Source organism: Homo sapiens, chromosome 16 (genome assembly GCF_000001405.40).
Source record: "Homo sapiens chromosome 16, GRCh38.p14 Primary Assembly".
NCBI lineage: Eukaryota > Metazoa > Chordata > Mammalia > Primates > Hominidae > Homo > Homo sapiens.
In genome coordinates, this window is record NC_000016.10 from 21,795,746 (window position 1) to 21,819,196 (window position 23,451).

At 40.9% G+C, this 23,451-nt stretch overlaps 1 pseudogene across 1 annotated transcript; it reads right to left on the reverse strand.

Moving 5' to 3' along the window:
- Positions 1-884: 884 nt before the first annotated feature.
- Positions 885-23,429, reverse strand: RRN3P1 (RRN3 pseudogene 1; annotated as a pseudogene). Its single transcript, NR_003370.2, has 12 exons — positions 23,364-23,429; positions 22,911-23,016; positions 21,717-21,773; positions 16,777-16,866; positions 16,541-16,670; positions 16,033-16,092; positions 10,386-10,484; positions 6,891-6,983; positions 4,962-5,092; positions 3,905-4,089; positions 2,005-2,113; positions 885-1,367 (listed from the first exon to the last, which is right to left on the reverse strand). The product of NR_003370.2 is annotated as an RRN3 pseudogene 1 (transcript).
- Between the last annotated feature and the right edge of the window lie 22 nt (positions 23,430-23,451).

Genomic DNA, 23,451 nt, shown 5'->3' on the forward strand with positions numbered 1-23,451 from the left:
TCACCAAAACTTTTTTTAAAACATTGTTTCCTTAATCACTAAAGTTTGCCAAGTGTAGGAATGAAGTATATCAAGGCAACTTGCTTGTTCTTGATTTCTGAATTATTTTTGACTTGTTCCTTTTCTCTGCCTATATCCAATCACTTCCCAAGCCCCACACACTGGGGCCATTCACTCATTCATTCATTCGACAAATATTTATTGAGCACCCGATATGTGCAACCTTCTTCCTCAACCTGGAGATATTTATCCTCAAAATTTTCATTCAACGCTTTTTATTGTGGACCCTTAGCATCTGGTGACATGAGGTATCTGCCATTGGCCCAGAAAGTGTTCTGACATCTTTGGCATCACAAGCATCACTTAGATTAGTTTATTGCCTCTCTTGTGTCAAGGCATAAGTATGATAATGATCAGGTTTGCATATATCCATCAATTTAAATAGAGAAATAAATATAACAGAGACAAGGCGCGGTGGCTCACGCCTGTAAGTGAGGTCAAGGTGGGTGGATCATCTGAGGTCAGGAGTTCGAGACCAGTCTGGCTAACGTGGTGAAACCCCATCCCTACTAAAAATACAAAATTAGCCAGGTGTGGTGGCGCATGCCTGTAATCTCAGCTCCTTGGGAGGCTGAGGCAGGAGAATCACTTGAACCCGGGAGGTGGAGGTTGCAGTGAGCCAAGATCGCACCACTACACCCCAGCCTAGGAAAAAAGAGTGAAATTTCATCTCAAAAAATAAAATAAAATAAATATGACAGTAATCTCTGTTTATTAAACACATAATGTGCCAGGTACTATTGTGGTCACCCTGCAAAGACATGGACCCCACCACCCAAAATTTGTTTTAGATGTCAAGACTGATGATACACCACATGCACCAAGAGGGTAGGAAAAGGTTTATTGCTCATATAATGAAGCTTTCTGAGAGAGCAGGGCAGATTCCCAAGCAGGTCCAAAAATGGTTTCAGAAAACCAGGCAAGGAAACTCCCTTAGCATTTATGGTGGTTAGGGATGGGGATGGGGATGGGGATGCGATGGGGATGGGGATGAAATGTGGGTCTGGTGGGAGGGCTAGGGCTTGTTGGGTATGAATTTCCAGCTGGTGCCAGAGGAGAGAGCAGCAGGCTTTCTTAGCTTGCCCAGATGTGGGGCAGAGGGGGAGAGGGAGGGTGGAAGATGTTAGCAGTCCCATATCAAAAGTGGAGGCAGACTGTTTTTCCCTCTACAATTTTTTTTATTATGGTAAAATACACAACATAAAACTTACCATCTTAACCATTTTGAAGTGCACGGTTCAGTGGTATAAAATAAATTGATATTGTTGTGCAACCATCACCACCATCCATATCCACAAGTCTTCATCCTGTAAAATGAAAACTCTGTACCCATTAAACAATAATTTCCCCACTCTGTCTTTCTGCAGCCGCTGGGGACCACCATTCTACTTTCTGTCTCTCTAATTTTGACAACTCTATGGGCTTCCTTTAAGTAGAACCATACAGTATTTGTTTTTCTGTGACTGGCTTATTTTACTTAGCGTAATGTCCTACAAAATCATTCATGTTGTAGCGTATTGCAGAAATTCCTTTTTTTTTTTTTTTTTTTTGATGGAGTCTTGCCCTTGTCACCCAGGCTGGAGTGCAATGGCACGATCTCAGCTCACTGCAACCTCTGCCTCCTGGGTTCAAGTGATTCTCCTACCTCAGCCTCCTGAGTAGTTGGGACTACAGGCACAGGCAACCACACCCAGCTAATTTTTAAAATTTTTTTATAGAGATAGGGTCTCACTATGTTGCTCAAGCTGGTCTTTTAACTCCTGGCCTCAAGCAATCCTCCCACCTCAGCCTCCCAAAATGTTGAGATTACAGGCGTCAGCCACCACGCCTGGCCTTTTATAATGTTACTAATTTCATAGAAATTTAACAGACTCTTACAATACTAGAGAAACATAAATAAAAATATTTTAAATAACTCCCATCAAGAAAGCATAAATAACTTACTTTGTGATTGCAGCAAAAAAGTTAACCACTGAGGGCAGGCAAATCTTCAGGGGATTTAGCTGGCTCATCACTATCCGCTCAAAATTCAGACTCTGAGGATACTGCAAACCTTTGGTTTAAAAAAAAAAAAGATTTTTAAAGGTACAAATAAGTGAAAAGTGTAAGATATCTTTAAAAGCACAAATTATCACACATTTAAAAAAAACTTAAAAAAATTATTTGCAGAAATGCTTTCAATAAAGGTCCATGCAGATAGTCACACAGTATATGGCCCAGAAGAGTATCACTAGGCTAACCACATTCATTGGTCACCAAGGCAGCTTCTCTAAAGGAAACTTAGGAAGTAGCAGGCTGTAAGATTCCACGACAACGTGAAGTTCATACGTTTGTAAGCTCAGTGTATGCTGAGCTAATACAGAGGGAGAAAAAGACCTTGTGATTTGGTTTCAGCTAACAATCACGACAGGCAACAAAACAAAACAGCAATTTGATTCTAGCTTGCATGTCTCGTTAGTGAAGCTGAGTGCTGTTTTCAGGTGCACAGTAGTCATCTGTAGTTTTTTTTCTAAACAAGAAAACTCCAAATTTGCCTTCTACCTCAACGGACGGCAAATTTAGACAGAAGCCACTTTCTTAGACTTAGTGAATACAATTCTTTCCTACATGAGTAAAATAAAGACATCACATTTATTTTAAGAGGCAAGCTGACCAACTTGTACTTAAGTATATTTTCTTAGGAGTTTCTTTGATGCATATTTCAATAAAAATTACCTAAATGGGATGTCACTGCTTACAAAAACAAGATATTTAATTCAGATTCCTGGCATTAATTTATACAAAGAAAAGCAGAGCTTGTATTTACTTACCTTGTGATAAAACCTCATCCTACTAGTTCATACAACATCTTTTAGAAGCATGTAGGATGTAGGTAAACATATATAATGCAACACGTACAACTGTCAGTTTAGAGCTGTGGCTGTTAACCTAAGGAGACTGCAACCCCCACAGAGGACACCTGGCAGTGTCTGGAGACACTTTTAGTTGTCACAGCTGGGGGTGGTCAGGGACTGCTGTTGGCAGCTAGTAGGTGGAGGCTGTTAAACATCCTACAGTGCAGAGGACAGCCCCCGACGATGAAGGATGATGCAGCCCAAATGGCAATCATGCAGGGTTGACAGACCCTGGTTTAGAGGAAGTGACCCACAAAACCATATGAATTATTCATAAACATAAACAGAACAATTTACAATGACTTATAAACACTGTTCTTGGAGACTCTCTTCAACTAAAATACGCTAATCTAGTAAGTTTCAACTGATAGATTTGAATTATAAGTAACTCTTAGAAATTAGCAAAACAATACTGGTCAATTAAGTCTCAAGGCTTCAGGCAGAGTGTAATCTATATAAACTCAAACTTTAGGGTCAGCTGAACCTGGCTTCAGTTTTCTAATCCTGCCAGTAACCATGTGATCTTGGGAAAATGACTTCCCCGTGCTTTGGTGCTGTCTGTAAAGGGAGAATACCTGCCATTTACTGGGCTGTTACAAGGACAACAAAGAGAAGGTGCATCCAACTGAAGCTTTGTACAGGGCGCTGGCACAGCCCAGGGCTCAGCCTCACCTCTGGAGACATCTTCACATTTCAAACCTTCAAAGGCAGAAACCTCTTTCTTAACCTCAAATCCATCTTAAGGGGTTTGTAGGGTTCTCAAGCTCAAATCTATCTTAAGGGGTTTGTAGGGGCCTATGAGCTGCTTGAAATTATTATTAGAAGTTTGAGTGTACATGCAGTTTTCTGAATCCAGTTTTTATAAAAATCTCAAAAAAGTAATGAATCACCATTCTGAAGGGTGACAAGAACACAAGGAAAATCCAGTCCAGCACTCCCACAACACTGACCTTCTTTCAGGTTTCCGCTCAAAAGCTGCTTGTGTCTAAAAACAAAGGTGTAGAACACAGCTTGGCAGGCTGAGTAAAATGGTCCATGGAGAGCAACATCGCAGAATGCCTTTGTTCCCGAATCCTGGTTATTAAGGTATATGTGCAGCCAGTTAACCAAAAGATCTAGGCATGGTTTTACAGTACTAGAGAAAAGAAAAATTCAAGTCAACTTTACACTTCATAAAAAAACCAGAATAACATAAAAACACACAACTGCCTTTCATTACAAACCATGCTAAGTAAGTTCATAGGTTTCTTTAAATAATACCCATGGGTACAGAGGAAAAGCAAAGAAAGGAAGGATAAGGATGGGTGCGTAGGAAGACAACCTTCCAATTACAAGGCAGAGTAGCTCTGACCTTCTAGGAACAGGTGAGCCCCTAAGAACGTCCCAAGGGATGGAAAGCAGGTTCTCCTAACCATCTCAAAGGCACCCCTCTTAGGGTGATTGGCCAAATAGGACATGTTCACCAACACGTCTCAAGAGAAAGACAGTCTGGTGGACTTCAGTATTCCCTGATGCATCCAGTCAAGTCCTATGGGTGAATAATTTTGTTCTTGGGGAAGGGTTTCAACAGCATCCTTGTCCAAAGATATCTTCATGGGCCACTGAAAGAAACTGGCCTCCTAGATAGGTCTATTACCTTTAAAAGGGTTTTTCTTCAGCTTTAACAGATACAATAGATTTGGAATGCAAATGAAAAAAATGACAAACCTACAAAAAGAATCAAAACAGTATACAACACTGTCCTCTATCCACAAAACAAATGGATCTTTAAGTGCAACCACACAAAAGAGATGACAAAAGCCTTACATACAGGGTTTTATATATAAAAAAGGAGACACTTTATTCTAAAATCACCACTTAGAAATATAAACATCTTGCACAGAGTAGGAATTTTATTCACTTTAAAAACATGCCAAAAACATATGGGAGATATTTCTGACTTGAGACAATGCTATACTCTTTTTAAAGCATGATATTAAAAAGTACTCGGCAAATTAGGCTACTTACATAAGAGAAATAAATTTAGCTCTTGCCAAAAAGCTTCCAATATAATTTCCAGCAGCCTGCCTGATGATGGCAGGATTACTTGGATCCTGCAAGTTTTTCCAAAGATGTTCCAAAAATGCCTCTGCGAATCCCTATAAAAAGAGAGGGCATCGGTGTGATATTTTTTAATGCCTAAGATAATCTGACTATCAAAATCCCAAGATTTTTACTTCACCAATGTAGGGAAAAGTTCTACTATCTCATAACTATCTCATGGGCTTCATTTTTAAAACACGTTGAGAGAATATCATTAGAAACAAAAGGCACCTCGGGTGTTAAATAATCCAATGGATCCCAAACCTAGCTAAGCATCAAAATCAACCCAGGGCCAGGCACAGTGGCTCACGCCTGTAAATGTAATCCCAGCACTTTGGGAGGCCGAGGCGGGTGGATCACCCAAGGTCAGGAGCTCGAGACCAGACTGGCCAACATGGAGAAACCCTCTCTCTACTAAAAATACAAAAATTAGCCAGGCGTGGTGGCAGGTGCCTGTAATCCCAGCTACTTGGGAGGTTGAGGCAGGAGAATCACTTGAACCCAGGAGGCAGAGGTTGCAGTGAGCTGAGATCATGCCACTACACTCCAGCCTGGGTGACAGAGTGAGACTCCATCTCAAAAAACAAACAAACAAAAAACAACAAAAAATTCAACCTGGGAGGTACAAATTCAATAGGTTTGTGACAGGGCTTTGGAATCCACATATTATAAAAACTCTTCAAGTGATTCCAATGTCAGCCAGAACTAGTGACCAACAATAATTCACATCCCATGGAGCTCCACATGGGCACTCCTGTGAGTGCAAAGCACCTTCCGGTCTCTGGACACACTGAACTCAACCATGAACAGAAATACGGACTAATGTACAGCTGGTATTTGAGTTAATTATGCCAATCATGGAAAAAAACAGACACAGCTTCTCACCAAAGGGTGTAACTTCCAACTTCTCCTAAATAGCGCTGTTCTAAAGCTAGGCACGCCCATGTGGGCAGACTGAATTCAACCTTCTTTCCCATGACCAACACTCTCCTGACCTCTAGGAAGCCACAAAATCGTTGCAGAGAAGGAAAAGCCTTCTATATTCTTTCCCCCACCAAAAAAAAAAAGAAGAAGAAGAAGAAAAGTCAAAGCCTAAAGTTTTTAAAATTCTAGATTAATAAGTTGGTTTGGGCTAGTTACAACTCAACCCTTGGAAAGAATAAAGGAAATACTGTTAATTACCCCATATGAGATTTTAATAGAGAAAGGCTTAAGGGAAGACCACCACCTAGTGACCAAAGGCAGGATGACATTTTCAGAGCACCTAGCTGGGCTGGCAGGCAGCAATCTGTTTTCTCTCCAAGTGTACTGAGAAGGGAACGTGGGCCAGGCACAGTTGTTCACACCTGTAATCCCAACGCTTTGCGGGGCAGGAGGCGGGCAGATCACTTGCGGTCAGGAGTTCACAACCAGTCTGGCCAACATGGTGAAACCCCGCCTCTTCTAAAAACACAAAAATTAGCCAGGCATGGTAATCTGTGGTCCCAGCTACTCGTAAGAAGTAATGCTATAAAGTGTACAAGTGGTAAAATGCAGAAATTAAACAGTTATGCTTTTCCATTAGCCACGCCCTCACAGACAGCATCTGGCTTACAAAAACAAACACTGAAAGTTACAACAACAAAAGTGAAACATACTTCACCAAACCCAAATTCAAAGCCTTGGAAATAGACCAATTATGCTAAGTGCTAAATGACATGGCAGCAAATTACTCATATAAGGAATCGTTTTCAAGTTTGCTAAACTATTTTAATTCTTTCAATCTAAAGCCTTAACAAAGATGAGCAGCACTAGCTGTTTCCACCCTTTGATTATGATAAACTTCATCTCCACTTTCATTAATAAACTGCTAACCATATTAAACAATCCTTCCGTGGAATCTGTCCCACCACAAGTTTGATTTGCTGTTTCTTCAGCATCTTCAATACCCTGCCGGGATGCATTCACCTATAACAAAGGGGGGGGAAAAAAGAATAAAAGGATTTAAAAAATACAACTATGTTATTTTGGGATGGAAATTCATCTGATATACACACGTTCAAGGTGTCCAGATTAGTGCCTTATATCACACCCCAACACAATACACAATTATGGTGCAAGCCTGTAAACTGACCTAGGTCATGAAGGAATTTAAATATAATAAACCAAGCCCCTTTTACTACATACTTATATAAAATCGACAACTATCACATGATGCTCTATGTCAGGTAGCCTCAACAAATTCAACATTTATTCTAGCTCTGATATGGTCTGGCTCTGTGTCCCCACCCAAATCTCACTTTTTTTTTTTTTTTTTTTTGAGGCAGAGTTTTGCTCTTGTTGCCCAGGCTGGAATACAATGGCAAGATCTTGGCTCACCGCAAACTCCGCCCCCCAGGTTCAAGAGATTCTCCTGCCTCAGCCTCCTGAGTAGCTGGGATTACAGGCATGTGCCACTGTGCCCAGCTAATTTTGTATTTTTAGTAGAGATGGGGTTACTCCATGTTAGTCAGGCTGGTCTCGAACTCCTGACCTCAGGTGATCCACCGGCCTCAGCTTCCCAAAGTGCTGGAATTACAGGCATGAGCCACCACGCCTGGCCCCAAATCTCATCTTGAATTGTACTCCTGTAAGTCCCACATGTTGTTGGGGGGGGGACTGGTGGGAGATAATTTGAATCATAGGGTAGGTTTCCCCCATACTGTTCTCATGATAGTGAATAAGTCTCACGAGATCTGATGGTTTTATCAGGGGTTTCCACTTTTACATCTTCCTCATTTTCTCTTGCCGCCACCATGTAAGAAGTGCCTTTCACCTCCCGCCATGATTCTGAGGGCTCCCCAGCCATGTGGAACTGTAAGTCCAATTAAACCTCTTTTTTGGCCAGGTGCAGTGGCTCACGCCTGTAATCCCAGCACTTTGGGAGGCCGAGGTGGATGGATCATGAGGTCAGGAGATTGAGACCATCCTGGCTAACACAGTGAAACCCCATCTCTACTAAAAATACAAAAAATTAGCCGGGCATGGTGGCACGTGCCTGTAATCCCAGCTAATCAGGAGGCTGAGGCAGGAGAACTGCTTGAACCCGGGAGGTGGAGGTTGCAGTGAGCCGAGATCGCACCACTGCACTCCAGCCTGGGCAACAGAGCGAGACACCATCTCAAACAAACAAACAAAAACATCTCTTTTTCTTCCCAGGCTCAGCTATGTCTTTATCAGCAGTGTGAAAATGGACTAATACAATCTCTATGCACAAGACACTCACAGACACATTGTGTAATAAACATATCGTCAATCAATTGAGCAGAAAAATGATGAACTGCAAGCCAAATGTGCATGATGCAATATTTATTTTGGTATATCACCATTCAAATATCTTAACATACCACTCAAACCATGCCATTTTTTATTAACTATGCCTGACCTTCTTTGTAAACATTCTAAAATGTTCCTTAAGTATATACCAGAGAAAGACTATAAAGAGTACATATACAGTTGGCCAGAGAGGTGCAACTCCAAGGGAGCACTGCACCAGTGAGCCCAAGCTCCAGCTCTTCTAAGACCTTGTTCCATCTTCCTGCTTTCCTATAGCATCAATGTTTTCCTCCACCAAAGCTCCTCTCCCCTCAGTCCACAAACCTGCTCACATCTCCCCACTCCTAAACCACGCCTCTTAGCCCTGCTCCATCCCCTCCTTCCACCACAACCCTGCACCAAGGTCTCTAACAGCCCCAATTCTGCTTCCCCACCATCCACATCCTCTCCCGAAATGCAGTTTCTGCGTCTTCACTGACATGGTCCTCCAGAAAGCAACAAAGACTACCTTCTAACCACTAAATCCAAGGACTGTTGCTCTTTTCATCTTTCTAAAAAATGACAGCAGTATCTGATGCTGCTGACCAAACTCCTCCTTCCAGCGGATTCTTCCTGAGCATCCAGACTCTTGGTTTTCCCCATACTTCTGATCACCCTTCTCCTCCCCTGTCCTAAACTGCATCTTTCCAAAGGTTTATGCTCAGGTCCCCATCTGCAGCCACGACTGCCTGTGAGTATTCTCTGGTAGGCTGCCCACCAGCAACTGAACCTGGCCAAGATGGAACTACTCTTCCAACTGCCTCCTCTTCATATTTTTTTTTTCTTTTTTTTTGAGACAGAGTCTTGCTCTGTCACCCAGGCTGGAGCAGAGTGGCACAATCTGGGCTCACTGCAAGCTCCACCTCCCAGGTTCACACCATTCTCCTGCCTCAGCCTCCCGAGTAGCTGGGACTATAGGTGCCCACCACCATACCCGGCCAATTTTTTATATTTTTAGTGAGACAGAGTTTCACCATGTTAGCCAGGATGGTCTCGATCTCCTGACCTCGTGATCCGCCCGCCTCGGCCTCCCAAAGTGCTGGGATTACATGCGTGAGCCACCACACCCAGCCTCCTCTTCATATTTCTAACTACCATTAATGGCAACACCAAGATTCGATTCCACAGGGAGCAACTATTGAAGGATTCCTTTCCCTTACTGTCTGCCTCCCCTCCTCCAAACCAGTCTCAAGGACCAGTTCACCTTTCCTCACAATGTCACTAGAATCTACCACTTCCTTTCATTCCCACTGCACCTTAGTGCGGGCCTCCTTAAACAAAGTTTTAACTGTTTATAATTATAATCTGCCCTTAAGAAAGGCCAAACAGGAAAAATCACTTCCGTAGGAATCCCTTCCTGACCCCACTGTGATTCTATCAGGTTCTCTAACTCATAATGTATGTTTCATTCATGGCATTTTCCACAACCATACTTTTACATTTGGATAACTATGTATTTAACGCCTTGTTCTCCAATCATGAGAAGGAACTGTCTACAACTCCCAGCACATGCACAGATGGAGTTCAAGACACATTCAAAGAAAGGAAGCAAAGAATGGTGCTAGTGGTTTCTTTTCTTTTCTTTTCTTTTTTTTTTTTTGAGATGGAGTCTCGCTCTGTCGCCCAGGCTGGAGTGCAGTGGCACGATCTCAGCTCACTGCAAGATCTGCCTCCCGGATTCAAGCAATTCTCCCACCTCAGCCTCCTGAGTAGCTGGGATTACAGGCACCCACCATCATGCCTGGCTAATTTTTTTTTTTTTTTTTTATAGAGACGGGGTTTCGCCATGTTGGCCAGGCTGGTCTTGAACTCCTGACCTCAGGTGATCTGCCTGCCTCGGCCTCCCAAAGTGCTGGGAATAAAGGCATGAGCCACCATGCCTGGCCAAGTGGATTCTTTTCTATCACTGACTATTGTTTCCACATACTGTGATTATAACAAATTCAAGTCAGTAAATGAAAATAAAAAAATAAAAAATAAAAAAAAGAAAATAAAAATAGATTACTCAATACTTACATCCAGCTTGAGTAGTTTTTCAATAATAAGCTCCAGAATTTCATGCCTCAAGGTTGGAAAATATACACTAATCCTTAGTAAGTTATGAACGTAACATTCCTAAAGGAGAAAACGTAAGATAAAACATTTCAACAGAGAATAAATATTTCACAGTTATGTAAGAAAAACATCAATTACATGACCTTTAGTTTCAAATATTGAAAAAGAAAAAAACAGACTATCCAGCAATACAAAAACTATACTGTTTCTACATGTATTATGTTCGGTATAATCATTTCAATTATCCCCAGTAAATGAAATTTTTAATTTGCATAACTATAGGTTTTTAAGTAGCTGTATTGATAAAACTCATATATCATACAATCACCAACTTAAAGTATACAATTTAAGTTTTTAATATATTCAGTTATGTGACCGTCAACATAATCAATTTCAGAACATTTATTTTTCTTTTAGAGACAGGGTCTTGCTCTCTCTCTCAGGATGAGGTACAGTGGGTGCAATCATAGCTCACTGCAACCTTGAATTCCCGGGATAAGCAATCCTTCCTCCTCAGCCTCCCTAGTAGCTAGAACTACAGGTGCACACCACCACATGAGGTTAATTCTTCCTTTTAGGGAGACATTTTCTCACTATGTTGCCCAGGCTGGTCTTCAACTCCTGGATCTTCCCACTTCAGCCTCCCGAAGTGCTGTGATTATGGGCATAAGCCACTGCACCCAGCCAGCAATTTTGTAACATTTTAATCACTCTAAAAAGAAATCCTACATCCATTAGTGCACCCCTAAAAAATGAAGACCTTGGCAACCACTAGTCTTTCTATGAATCTGCCTCTTTGAGACATTTCATATAAATGGAGTCATATAATACATGTTTTTAGGGTTCAATCATGTTGTAACATGTAAACCATTCCTCTCATATCAATGGAGTCATACACAGTTTGTGGCATGTTTTTAAGGTTCAATCATGTTGTAACATGTAAACCATTCCTTTCCTATCAATGGAGTCATATAATACACAGCCTTTTGGCATGTTTTTAGGGTCCAATCATGTTGTAACATATAAAGCATTCCTTTTCATTGCTGAGTAATATTCCATTGTACCATGTTTTGTCATCTGTTCATCAGTTGACAGACATTTGAGTTGCTTCTACTTGAGGCTATTATGGATGCTGCTGCTATGAACATCCATGTACAAGTTTTTCTGTGGACATATATTTTCATTTCTCTTGGGTATAAACCCAGAAATGGAACTGCTGAGTCACGTGTTAATTCTACATTTAACCTTGAAGAAATGCCAGGCTATTTTCCAAAACGGCTGCACCATTTTACATTCTCACAGCAACATATGACAGTTCCAACGTTCCCATTTCTCCATATCCTTGTGAACACTTGTTACTGTCTTCTCGTTCTGATTATAGCCATCCTTGTGGGCATTAAGTGAAATCATTTCCCTGATGGCTAATGATGTTGAGCTTCTTTTCATGTGTTTTGCAGAAATGCCTATTCAGATCCTTTGCCCTCTTCAGTTGGGCTATTTGCCCTTTTATTATTCAATTATAAGAGTTCTTTACATATACAAGTCCATTACCAGACATAAAATTTAGAAATATTTCCTCCCATTATTTGGGGATTCTTTTCATCTTCTTGAAGATGTCCTATGAAGCATAACAACGTTTAATTTTGAAGTACAATTGATGCATTTTTTCTTTGGTTGCTTGTGCTTAGGCATCAAATCTGGAAATTACTGCCTAATCCAACATTATGAAAATGTACTCGTTTTCTTCTCAGAGTTTTACAGTTTTTACACTTCATGTAGGGCTTTTATTGAGTTCATTTTTGTATATGGATATCCATATGCTTCACTCTTTTGCATGTTCATATCCACTTCTGCCAGCAGCATTTGTTGAAATGACTATTCTCCCCTATTCAATTGTCTTGAACAACTGGTTAGTGTATGTTAGTCTTCTGTCCCGTAACCATGCTGAACTCATTTATTATCTCTAAAATTTCTTGTGTGTGTGTAAACTTCTTAGAATGACATATAAAATCACCATGCAAAAGAGAGTTTACGCCTTCCTTTCCATCTGGATGCTTTTAATTCTTTTTCTTGCCTAACTGCCTTGGCTAGACAAGCAGCAAGAGCGGAAATCCTTGTTTTGTTCTTTGTCTTAGGAAAAAACTTTTGGTCTTTCACCACTGAATATGATGTTAGCTGTGGGTTTTTCAGATGCCCTTTATCAGGTTGAGAAAATTTCCTTCTGTTTTTCTCATAAAGGGATATTGGTGTTTGTCACACACTTCTGCATCTACTGAGATGATTATGTGGTTTTTGTCCTTTGTTCTATTGCTACAAAATATTTTATTAATTCATTTTCAGGTACTAACTCAATCTCAGCCGGTCACGGTGGTTCACGCCTCTAATCCCAACACTTTGCGAGGTGGAGACGGGTAGATCGCTTGAGGTCAGGAGTTCAAGACCAGTCTGGCCAACATGGCAAAACCCCATCTCTACCAAAAACACAAAAATTAGTGGGGTGTGGTGCCCCATGTCTATAGTCCCACCTACTTGGGAAGCTGAGGTGGGAGAGTCACTTGAACCCTGGAGGCAGAGGCTGCAGTGAGCTGAGATGGTGCCACTGCACTCCAGCCTGGGTGACAGACAGAGACTGTCCCCCCACCCCCGAAAAAAAAAATCAATCTTGCATTCCTAACATCAGTCGCACTTGGTCATGGTACGTAATTCTTTTTGTATGCTACTAGATTCGGTTTTCTACTAAGGCAACCACTATTAATTATTAAAAACTGCACAGATGATCTGAACATTGTACAAAAACTTAAGCAGAATTCTTCTATGGAAGGCTTTGTTTTCAGGTTAAAATAAGGCATGTTCACAATTAGTAATACATGAACTATTATCTTCTAGTAATTCTTGCCCGTATGAGCATAAAGCCACTACAGATATTCCGGAAATGAACTCAGACCTTGACTTGCACATAGTAATAACAGAAAAAGGCACTGCGAATCCCCAATAGCCGCTTTATAAGAAAGGAATCTGAGTCAAATTCTTAGACATCAGTTTAAAGTCTAGAAGACAAAGTAACCTTTAAGAAAAAGACCTAACATCAGCCGGGCACGGTGGTTCACCAATCCCAGCACTTTGGGAGGCCGAGGCAGGCAGATCACAAGGTCAGGCGTTCGATAACAGTGTGGCCAATATGGTGAAACCTTGTCTCTACTAAAAATACAAAAATTAGCTGGGCATGGTGGTAGGTGCCTGCAGTCCCAGCTAATGGGGAGGCTGAGGCAGGAGAATTGCTTGAACCCGAGAGGCAGAGGTTGCAGTGAGCCAAGATGACGCCATTGCACTCCAGCTTGGGCGATAGAGTGAGACTCGGTCTCAAAAAAGAAAAATAAAAATAAAGACAGAAAAAGAAAGAAAAAGACCTAATATCATCTAAAATGAAATCATACAAACAACTTTTCCATGATGTTCTCAATGAAAAGATTTCTTACCAGTGTTCTCTCTGATTTTCGAACAAATGGAAATTTTTCCACCAGTATTGGCATGAGAAACCACGGTGCCCTATTTTTAAAAAATTAAATCAATCCATGTTGACTTTACTTTCTAGAAAAGGAATAAAAAGGAAAACTACCATTCTAAAAGCAAATATCGATAGACATAGGAGGCAAACAGGAACCCTTACCTCAAAGAACTGGAACTTTTTTTGTTTTTTGAGACGGAGTTTCGCTCTTGTTGCCCAGGCTGGAGTGCAGTGGCACAATCTCGGCTCACTGTAACCTCTGCCTCCCGGGTTCAAGCGATTCTCCTGCCTCAGCCCCCCAAACAGCTGGGATTACAGGCATGCGCCACCACGCCCACCTAATTTTGTATTTTTAGTAGAGACGGGGTTTCTCCATGTTGGTCAGGCTAGTCTCGAACTCCCGACCTCAGGTGATCCGCCCGCCTCAGCCTCCCAAAGTGCTGGGATTACAGGTGTGAGCCACCGCGCCCGGCCAGAACTGGAACTTACAATGTATAGCTTCTGAGAAAGTCTATAACAACTTAGAGAAAATAAGCTTCTGTTAACTCTGATATCAACAGCAAATCAAAGAGGGAGCTTCTCTCCCACAGAAACATAACAGCACTTTTGCTGACATTTCCCACTACACATGTATATTATTTTTAAAAGAAGAAAAAATAATCAAGTTGGATTTTTTTAAGTTAACAAATAATCAACAGACAGAGGGAACTAGAAATCCACCCCTCCAAAAGAAACCCACAAACCTGAAAAGCTTTTCTTAGAAGTGCAATTTTTATTCATATGGCATGACACAAACACACCCAGGGGTTTCTCACTGAAAAATTTTGGATAGCATATCTGTTGAAGATAAAAACAAAATTCCAACCACCATACAAAATTGGGGGAGAATCTGCATACGAACTTTGAAAAACAATTAAAGAGAATAAATAGAAAATGGAAATGCCACTTTTTGTAGAATGTAATGTTTCCTCAAGTGGATACAAAAAAAAAAATGCAATGTAAGACTCAAGCTTTAATACTATTAACATTTTATAATTTTTACTAATTGATTACAATTTTCTTGAGAATTAAACATTCAAAATAAGGAAAAGTATACTCATGATGGTACATATCTTGCTATTATTTGCAAGGCTCTGTGATATGTGTCAAAATTTGCAGGAAGATCTGAAAGAAGAAAAGTTCAGAGTATGAGCATCAAAACAAAACTGAAGGGCGACATGCTTGAAACTAAAAATAAATGCTGGCCGGGCACAGTGGCTCACGCCTGTAATCCCAGCACTCTGGGAGGCCGAGGTGGGTGGATCACCTGAGGTCAGGAGTTCGAGACCAGCCTGACCAATATGGTGAAACCCCATCTCTACTAAAAATACAAAAATTAGCCGGGCATGGTGGCAAACGCCTGTAGTCCCATCTACTCAGGAGGCTGAAGCAGGAGAATCACTTGAACCTAGGAGGTGAAGGCTGCAGCGAACCAAGATCACACCACTGTACTCCAGCCTGGGCAACAGAGCGAGACTCTGTCTCAAAAAACAAACAAACAAACAAAAAGTGACATACTTGAAGCTAAAAACACATGCTAACCAAAACGGAATAATTTATCAGAGAAATAATAATTTCAAGACTTTTCTCCACCAGCATCAATGAAAATTAAATGGACTAATTATATAAATAATGCATTCAGGACAACTGACTGCATATCAATGGTAAATATAACAAAAAGATTACATCAAAAGTTGTCATTTGTTGCAGTCTACTTATTAGAATAGATGCCAGGTATTCTGTGCTTTACTTTTTTTTTTTTAAAGAAGACAGAGTCTTGCCACCAGGCAGAGCTTGAACTCCTGGGCTCAAGCAATCCACCCACTTAAGCCTCCCAGGTAGCTGTGACTAAAGACACACACTACCCTGCCTAGTTCTACTTTAAGCCTTTTTTAAGAAAATATTTGAAAAAAAATGTTTTTTTGCAGAGACAAGGTCTCACTATGTTGCCCAGGCTGGTCTCAAACTCTTGGCCTCAAGTGATCCTCCCATCTTGGCCTCCCAAAATGCTGGGATTATGGGTGTAAGCTACTGTGCCCAGGCTTTAAACCTTTTTATACTTACTATCATCTTCATCATCAGAATCTGAAACATCTACATCGCCTTCCTTAATGATCACTCAGGCTTTTGAGGGAAAAAGAAAATATGTTGTTCTGTCATTGATCTAGACAATGAATGGCTATACAAAAAAAGTTATTGACCTAGACAATGAACAGCTATAAAAAAAGTTATTTTTCCATAATCCAAAGTTAGCCCAATGATTAATTAAATGCACAATCTGAAAAAAAGTAATGCAACTTTATAGTTTTTAAATGGCTAAAAATTCCTAGATTTCACCAGGAGTTCAATAAAGCAAGTTATAATTCATCAAACTCACAGCAACAAATGAATCTAGACACCTCCATAGGGGTCATTACGGGGAATATATGTCTACCAGACCTGGTGCCAATATGCATCTGGAATCTTCCATGGTAGCAGTCTCTCATATATAAGGGGAAGGTGGTATTTTAACAAAGAAGTATTAAAAAGAAAAGAAAAGAAAATTCCAAGCAAGCAAAGAGTAATGACTTACGAGGCACAAAATGGGAAGCAATCATGCTGAGACACGGTCTGAGGAAAACAGTCTATGCTGATACAAGATTACCAAGAAAAGCCAAATACTCTTCCACTACTGTTTGACTTCTATTCAACCAAGGCAATCTCTAGAGTGGGGGAAGAAAGATAAAAGCAGCATGTTATTAATATAACATATACTATTACCAAAGTTCTGAATTACATACTTGACAGTAAAATAAATGGTGAACTTACCAATATAATACTGATAAGTTGCTCAAAGTCTTTTGTCAAGTACATGACAGAAGAACGGAATTCTAGCAGCCAGTTGATGATCTGGTCATCCTTAAGTTAAACAAAGAGTACTTTCAAAATCACAAATCCTCTAAGATAACAGAAATTTACAGCTATCTTATATCAATCATTTATCAAGAATAGGTTGGGGGGAAAAGGTCACAAACTTGGAAGGAAATCAAAACTGGGTATTAAAACAGAAAAAGATGTCACAATAAACTTAATCGTTTTAAGAAAGTAATCTAGTAACTCTAATACACAGGAGAAAGACTTAAATGCAATACTTCAGCCTGATCACTTTTGTTTGCCCTGAAAAAGTGAAATCACCTCAAATGTTGACACCTGGGACTTTTAAAAACTGCAGAATTCTAGCAGATTGAAATATTAGAAGATCACAAAGGAACAATAGCTACCTCTATTTCCTCTATATTCAAGCTGACCAGGAAGCATGCTGATAAAATTCAGTCTAGGCTGATCAATTGGGGTCATGAATAAACATAACTTTTCTAAACCAAATCTGTGGCTGAGTTTAAATATATTATGATGTGTTTGTTCTGTATAAATGATAGCCCCATTCCTCCATGAAATATTTTTCAGGCAATCAAATTACTGTTCATAGTAATTGTTAGTGACATGAGAAGAACTGCTAAATTTGAAACGCAAGGTATAAAATACAGTGTCAATTATGTAAAATATTACTATATTAATTATATTCATGCATATATACTGCACAGGACAAAAACCATTAAGAAAAAGCCCCTAATTTGTGGAAGGCTTAGACATATAAATAAAAGCAACACAAGGTCATCATACCTACAGGGATATTCATATGGAGTTATCATTTAGTGAGAATACACCATATGCCAGGCATGGTGCCTGACACTCCGCATATATATCTTCTTCTAATCCTAAGAACTCTGCAAGATGTTTAGTTATTCCCATTTTGCTGTTCAGGAAGCTGAGGCTAAGAACGATTAATAAGCAATCTGCCCAACCAAGAGGCCAGTAAAGAAGCAGGTCCAAACCCATCTGTCTCGGTCAAGGCTATCCTCTGTCCACCATCCCACATGCCTCCCTATATGCGGAGAAGAAGCTGTCCCCTTTTCCCCACCTTAATTCAGCTACTGAGTGCTTACTATGCCATATCCATGTGTCAAACTCCCACAGATCAACCATTTTCTGATGAAATCCCAAGTAGCCTGGCAGTAAAATAAAGTAAAACCACAACTCATTTGTACTATGGTAATTTCATATGTCCAAAACTGTTAAGGATAACATTAACGGTAGCTCACTAAGGCCAAAGGCATGTAGAAAACAAGCTAAGTTAGTGTGTAAATAAAATAATCTATCCTATCTCTTTTCCACTAAAAAGACTGCAACAAAACTATAAGGATAACATTTAAACTGTACCATTTTTAAAAGTAAATCAGGCTGGGGGTGGTGGCTCACACCTGTAATCCCAACACTTTGGGAGGCCGAGGTGGGTGGATCACCTGAGGTTGGGAGTTCGAGACGAGCCTAACCAACATGGAGAAACCCCGTCTCTACTAAAAATACAAAATTAGCTGGGCGTGGTGGTGCATGCCCATAATCCCAGCTACTCGGGAGGCTGAGGCAGGAGAATTACTTAAAAAACTCGGAGGCAGAGGTTGCAGTGAGCCAAGATCATGCCACTGCACTCCAGCCTGGGCAACAAGAGCAAAACTATGTCTCAAAAAGAAAAAAAAAAAAGTAAATCAGTTGCAGACTTTGATGCTTTAGTACTGAACTATTATTATTTCTACTAGCAGGCAGGAACAGTGGCTCATGCCTGTAATCCCAGCACTTTTCGGAGGCCAAGGCAGGAGGAAACTGCTTGAGCCCAGGAATTTGAGACCAGCCTGGGCAACATAGGGAGACCTCGTCTCTAGAAAAATTAGCCAGGCATGGTAGCACATGCTTGTGGTCCCAGGTGCTCGGGAGCCTGAGGTGGGAAGATTGCTTGAGCCTGGGAGGTTGAGGCTGCAGTGAGCCATGATCGGGCCCATTACACTCCAGCCTGGGTGACACAGCGAGACCCTGTCTCAAGACGAAAAAAGTTCTACTTGCAACACTCCACACAACTAGTGCAATTCTTGGTATGTCAAAATACCAAGAATGAGAACTGCTGATACAAAATACAGTGGAACACAAAGAAAATGTCCCTTTGTATCTGGGAAAGGAGGCAGGGGTCAGGAAAAGCTTTAAAGAGAAAGTGATGCTTCAGCTGTCTTTAAACAGTAACACAGTTGAGTCTTTTCTGGAAGTTCTGCTTCTTACAGAAGGAAAAGTATGTTTTCAGAAAACTGAAAAATGTTCAGTATGGCTGGCATGTATAGTGACCAAGCCAACAGATAATAAATCTGGGGAACAAAGAAGCACCAAATAGACCATGGAGGGCCTTGTAAACCAGATCTGTAACTAGAGAGATCTGGAAGTGTGGGAAATAGACTCAATGAAGGAACAACCATGTGCTTAGAGAGAACCAGGGAAAGCTCCATGAAAGATGGAGCCCAGCCAAGAGTGGACATGATAAGTTTGGAGCATCTATGATGATTCTGGGTAAATGCATCTAACAGACAGTTAAGAAACAAGTCTAGGCCGGGTGCAGTGGCTCACGTCTATAATCCCAGCACTTTGGGAGGCTGAGGCGGGTGGATCACTTGAGGTCAGGAGTTCGAGACCAGCCTGGCCAGCATGGTGAAACCCCAAATCTACTGAAAATACAAAAAAATTAGCTGGGCGTGGTGGCACAGCTACTCAGGAGGCTGAGGTGGGAGGATGGCTTGAACCCAGGAGGCAGAGGTTGCAGTGAGCCAAGATCATCCCACTACACTACAGCCTAGGTGACAGAGCAAGACTCTGTTCTGCCCATCCCCAAAAATGAAAATGAAATAAGTCTGGAGCCCACAAGAGCAATCTTGGCTACAGACACAAATATATTAGGACACAGGTAGATTTCAAAGCCATGAAGGGAGATGAGGAGATCACACAGAAGAATCAACAGAGTGAGAAAAGAGTCAAGTTTTGAAGCCCAATCAACACCAAATTTAAGATCAAGAACCTATCGAGAGATACTAGAGCTTAAAGGATCACTGGCCGGGTGTGGTGGCTCACACCTCTAATCCTAGCACTTTGGGAGTCCAAGGCGGGTGGATCACGAGGTCAGAAGATCGATACCATCCTGGCTAACATGGTGAAACCCCATCTCTACTAAAAATACAAAAAATTAGCTGGGGGTGGTGGCGGGCGCGTGTAGTCCCAGCTACTCGGGAGGCTGAGGTAGGAGAATCACTTGAACTCGGGAGGTGGAGCTTGCAGTGAGCCAAGATTGCGTCATTGCACTCCAGCCTGGGCGACAGAGCAAAAAAAAAAAAAAAAAAAAAAAGAGAGAGATTAAAGGATCAGAAGACAGGAGGATCAGAAACACTGAAGTTTTAAGAAGTGGGTGGCCAACAGTGTCGGCTGATACAAGGAATACAAGGCTTAAAAAAGTAAGTCCACTGAGGCTGGGCTCAGTGGCTCACACTTGTAATCCCAGCACTTTGGGAGGCCGAGGCAGGCAGGTCACCTGAGGTCAGGAGTTCAAGACCAGCCTGGCCAACATGGTGAAACCCCGTTTCTACTAAAAATAAAAAAATTAACCAGGCATGGTGGCGGGTGCCTGTAATCTCAGCTATTTGGGAGGCTGAGGCAGGAGAATTGCTTGAACCCAGGAGGCAAAGGTTGCAGGGAGCCCATATCACACCACTGCACTCCAGCCTGGGTGACAAGAAGGAGACTTTGTCTCAAAAAAAGTCCACTGAAATCAGCATGTAAAAAAAAAACATGGGTAATCTGTCAGGGTAATTACTACAGTGATAAGAACAGTGGACTTAAATGTGAGTGAGAAATGATACAGCACAGTCAGCTGGAACAAAAACAACAGATGACAATTACTGCCCTTACTTTGAGTCAGAGACTGTTCTAAGTGCTTCTTGCATATTAGCTCATTGAATCCTTGTTAAGTATTTCCATGTTTAAAGCCAGGCACAGTGGCATGCACCTATAGTCCCAGCTTTTTAGAAGGCTGAAGAGAAAGGATCATTTGAGGCCAGGAGTTCAAGGCTGTAGTGCACTATGATCACACCTGTGAATAGCTAGAGCAACACAGCAAGACCACATCTCTTAAAAAACAAAACACTCCATATTTTTTAAATCTCTATTGTTTTCTTGGTTTCACACAGTGGAAAATAGAGGCAGAGAGGTTAAAACAATTTGCTCAAGATCACACACTGGATAATAAAATTGGAATTTCATTCCAGGCAATCTAACTACCACTGCCATGGTAATAAACCATTCTCTTCAAAACTGGGCAGTAAAGGAAGAATGGTGAAACAAAATGTATTAAGGTTTTACTACATGATAGGTGTATCTCGAACCTGGAAATGCTGAAACAGTGGTTTGTTTTTTTTTTTTGGTTTGTTTTAGCTTTAAAGAGACAAAAGAGTTGCATGCAGCATGGAGGAAAGAGGTAGTAATCTAATAGAAAGGAAGCATTAGAGCAGGGTTTCCCAGCCTCAACACTGTTGTCATTTGGGGCTGGATCACTCTTGGTTATGGGAGGCTGCCCTGTGCACTGTGAGATGTTTAGCAGCATCTCTGTCATTCACCCACTAGATGCCAGTAGCACCCTTTCCTCCCAGTTGTGACAAAAATATCTGCAGCCATCACCAAATGTCTTCTAGGGGGTAAAACTGTCCCTGGTTGAGAACCACCAGATTAAAGTAAGGGAGGACCATGGAGAGAGCAAGTTCTGCAGAACAGAATGGGACCCAAAGAGCAAACTATGTCTGTATAAAGTGGCAATAATTTTGCTAATGATCAAACACAAAATTAATTACCTTTATGTCTGGATCTAACAGCTGGTTCTTCAACAACTCAAAGTCATTTGTTTCACCCTTAACAAGAAGGGGAAAGAATTAAGTTATGCTTTTGTTTCCTGTTTAGTATCAACAGCAAGACTTTTAACCGTACTTTAACATCAGATGAAATTATAAAAGGAACACTAACTTTCACATGTCAATTGCGGATTATAAAATCATGACTACAAAAATTTAAACACTCATGTTAGTGCAGCCAGAGGGCTTGGAAAAAGGAAAATGATAAACTACATTTAGCTATACTTCTGTATTGACATTTGAATATAATAGTTGATACTCCTGCGAATTCTCAAAAAGCATGAGGGGAAAAAACAGCCAGCTCTAATGATCTAATTCAGGAGGATCTAAAAAAGTATTCACTCAAATATGGATACAAATGGATATTTCATATAAACATACGGTTACTTAACATTTTCCCTCTACTGCTGAGATATAGTAGAAATGCTTCTAAACTACCACAAAAACAAAAATCCCTATTCAGAGAACCGGTTTACTGTCCCAAAGTAATGCTTAGGTAAGTTCCTCAAAAAATAAAATGCTGTAGGCCAGGCATGGTGGCTCACATCTGTAATCCCAGCACTTTGGGAGGCCAAGGCGGGTGGATCACAAGCTCAGGAGTTTGAGACCAGCCAGGCCAACATGGTGAAACCCCGTCTCTATTAAAAAAATTAAAAAATTAGCCAGGTGTGGTGGTGCGTGCCTGTAACCCCAGCTATTCAGAAGACTGAGGCAGGAGAATTGCTTGAACCTGGGAGGTGGAGGATGCAGTGAGCTGAGGTCACGCCACTGCACTCCAGCCTGGGTGACAGAGGAAGACTCCAGCACAAATAAATAAATAAATAAAATGCTGTAATTGTTTTTAATTCTAGCACTTGCTAAAGTTAAAAGATGCTTTGTAAATAAAGCATTTGAAGAGGTGAAACCTCAGTAAAGACATTATTACTCTCTCATTATTACCTGTGAAATGGGCCAAGGTGGGGGAAAAAAAGGACACTATTACTCTAATTTTGCACTGACGGCATCATGCTATTATTAAATATTTGATTTCAACTGGTATCTTAATTAATCTTGCTATTTCTATTGGTCTTTAGTATAACAGCAATAGTTGTATTCTGACCTGACCAAAAGCAAACCTCACACATTATCTCCTCTTACCTTTTTGTACTTCAGCAAGACTTCTGTCACAGTTCCACCAAACCGAACAGTTTTTCTTGGGGGAGAATTGAAAAAATCATTCTCTAATGCACGCATATTTGAAATCCTGTGGAACCAAGATTAACAAGCTATTAAGTTCATGAAAATAATAAAAATTATAATAGCCAACCTTTATTGAACCAACATAATTCAGTGGGACTATTGTTAAGGCCTCTTTACTGGTCTCCCTGCTTCCACTCTTAACCAACAATCCCTCCTTTGCTCAGCAACCAATAACTGTCTTCCCACTGCACTTACAGTAACAATCCAAATCTCTCAGTGTGGTCTTTAAAATCCTACATTAATCTGGCCCCCGCCTACCTCTCTCACCTCATCTCCAACAACTTGTTTTACTACAGCCATCATGTCTTTTCTGCTCTTCAAACAAGCCAAGCTGTTTCTCATTTCACTTACTGTTCACTCTATTGGAAATACTCTTTTCCCAAATCTCTACGTGGCTGGATTTTTTTTTTTTTTTGAGATGGAGTCTTGCTCTGCTGCC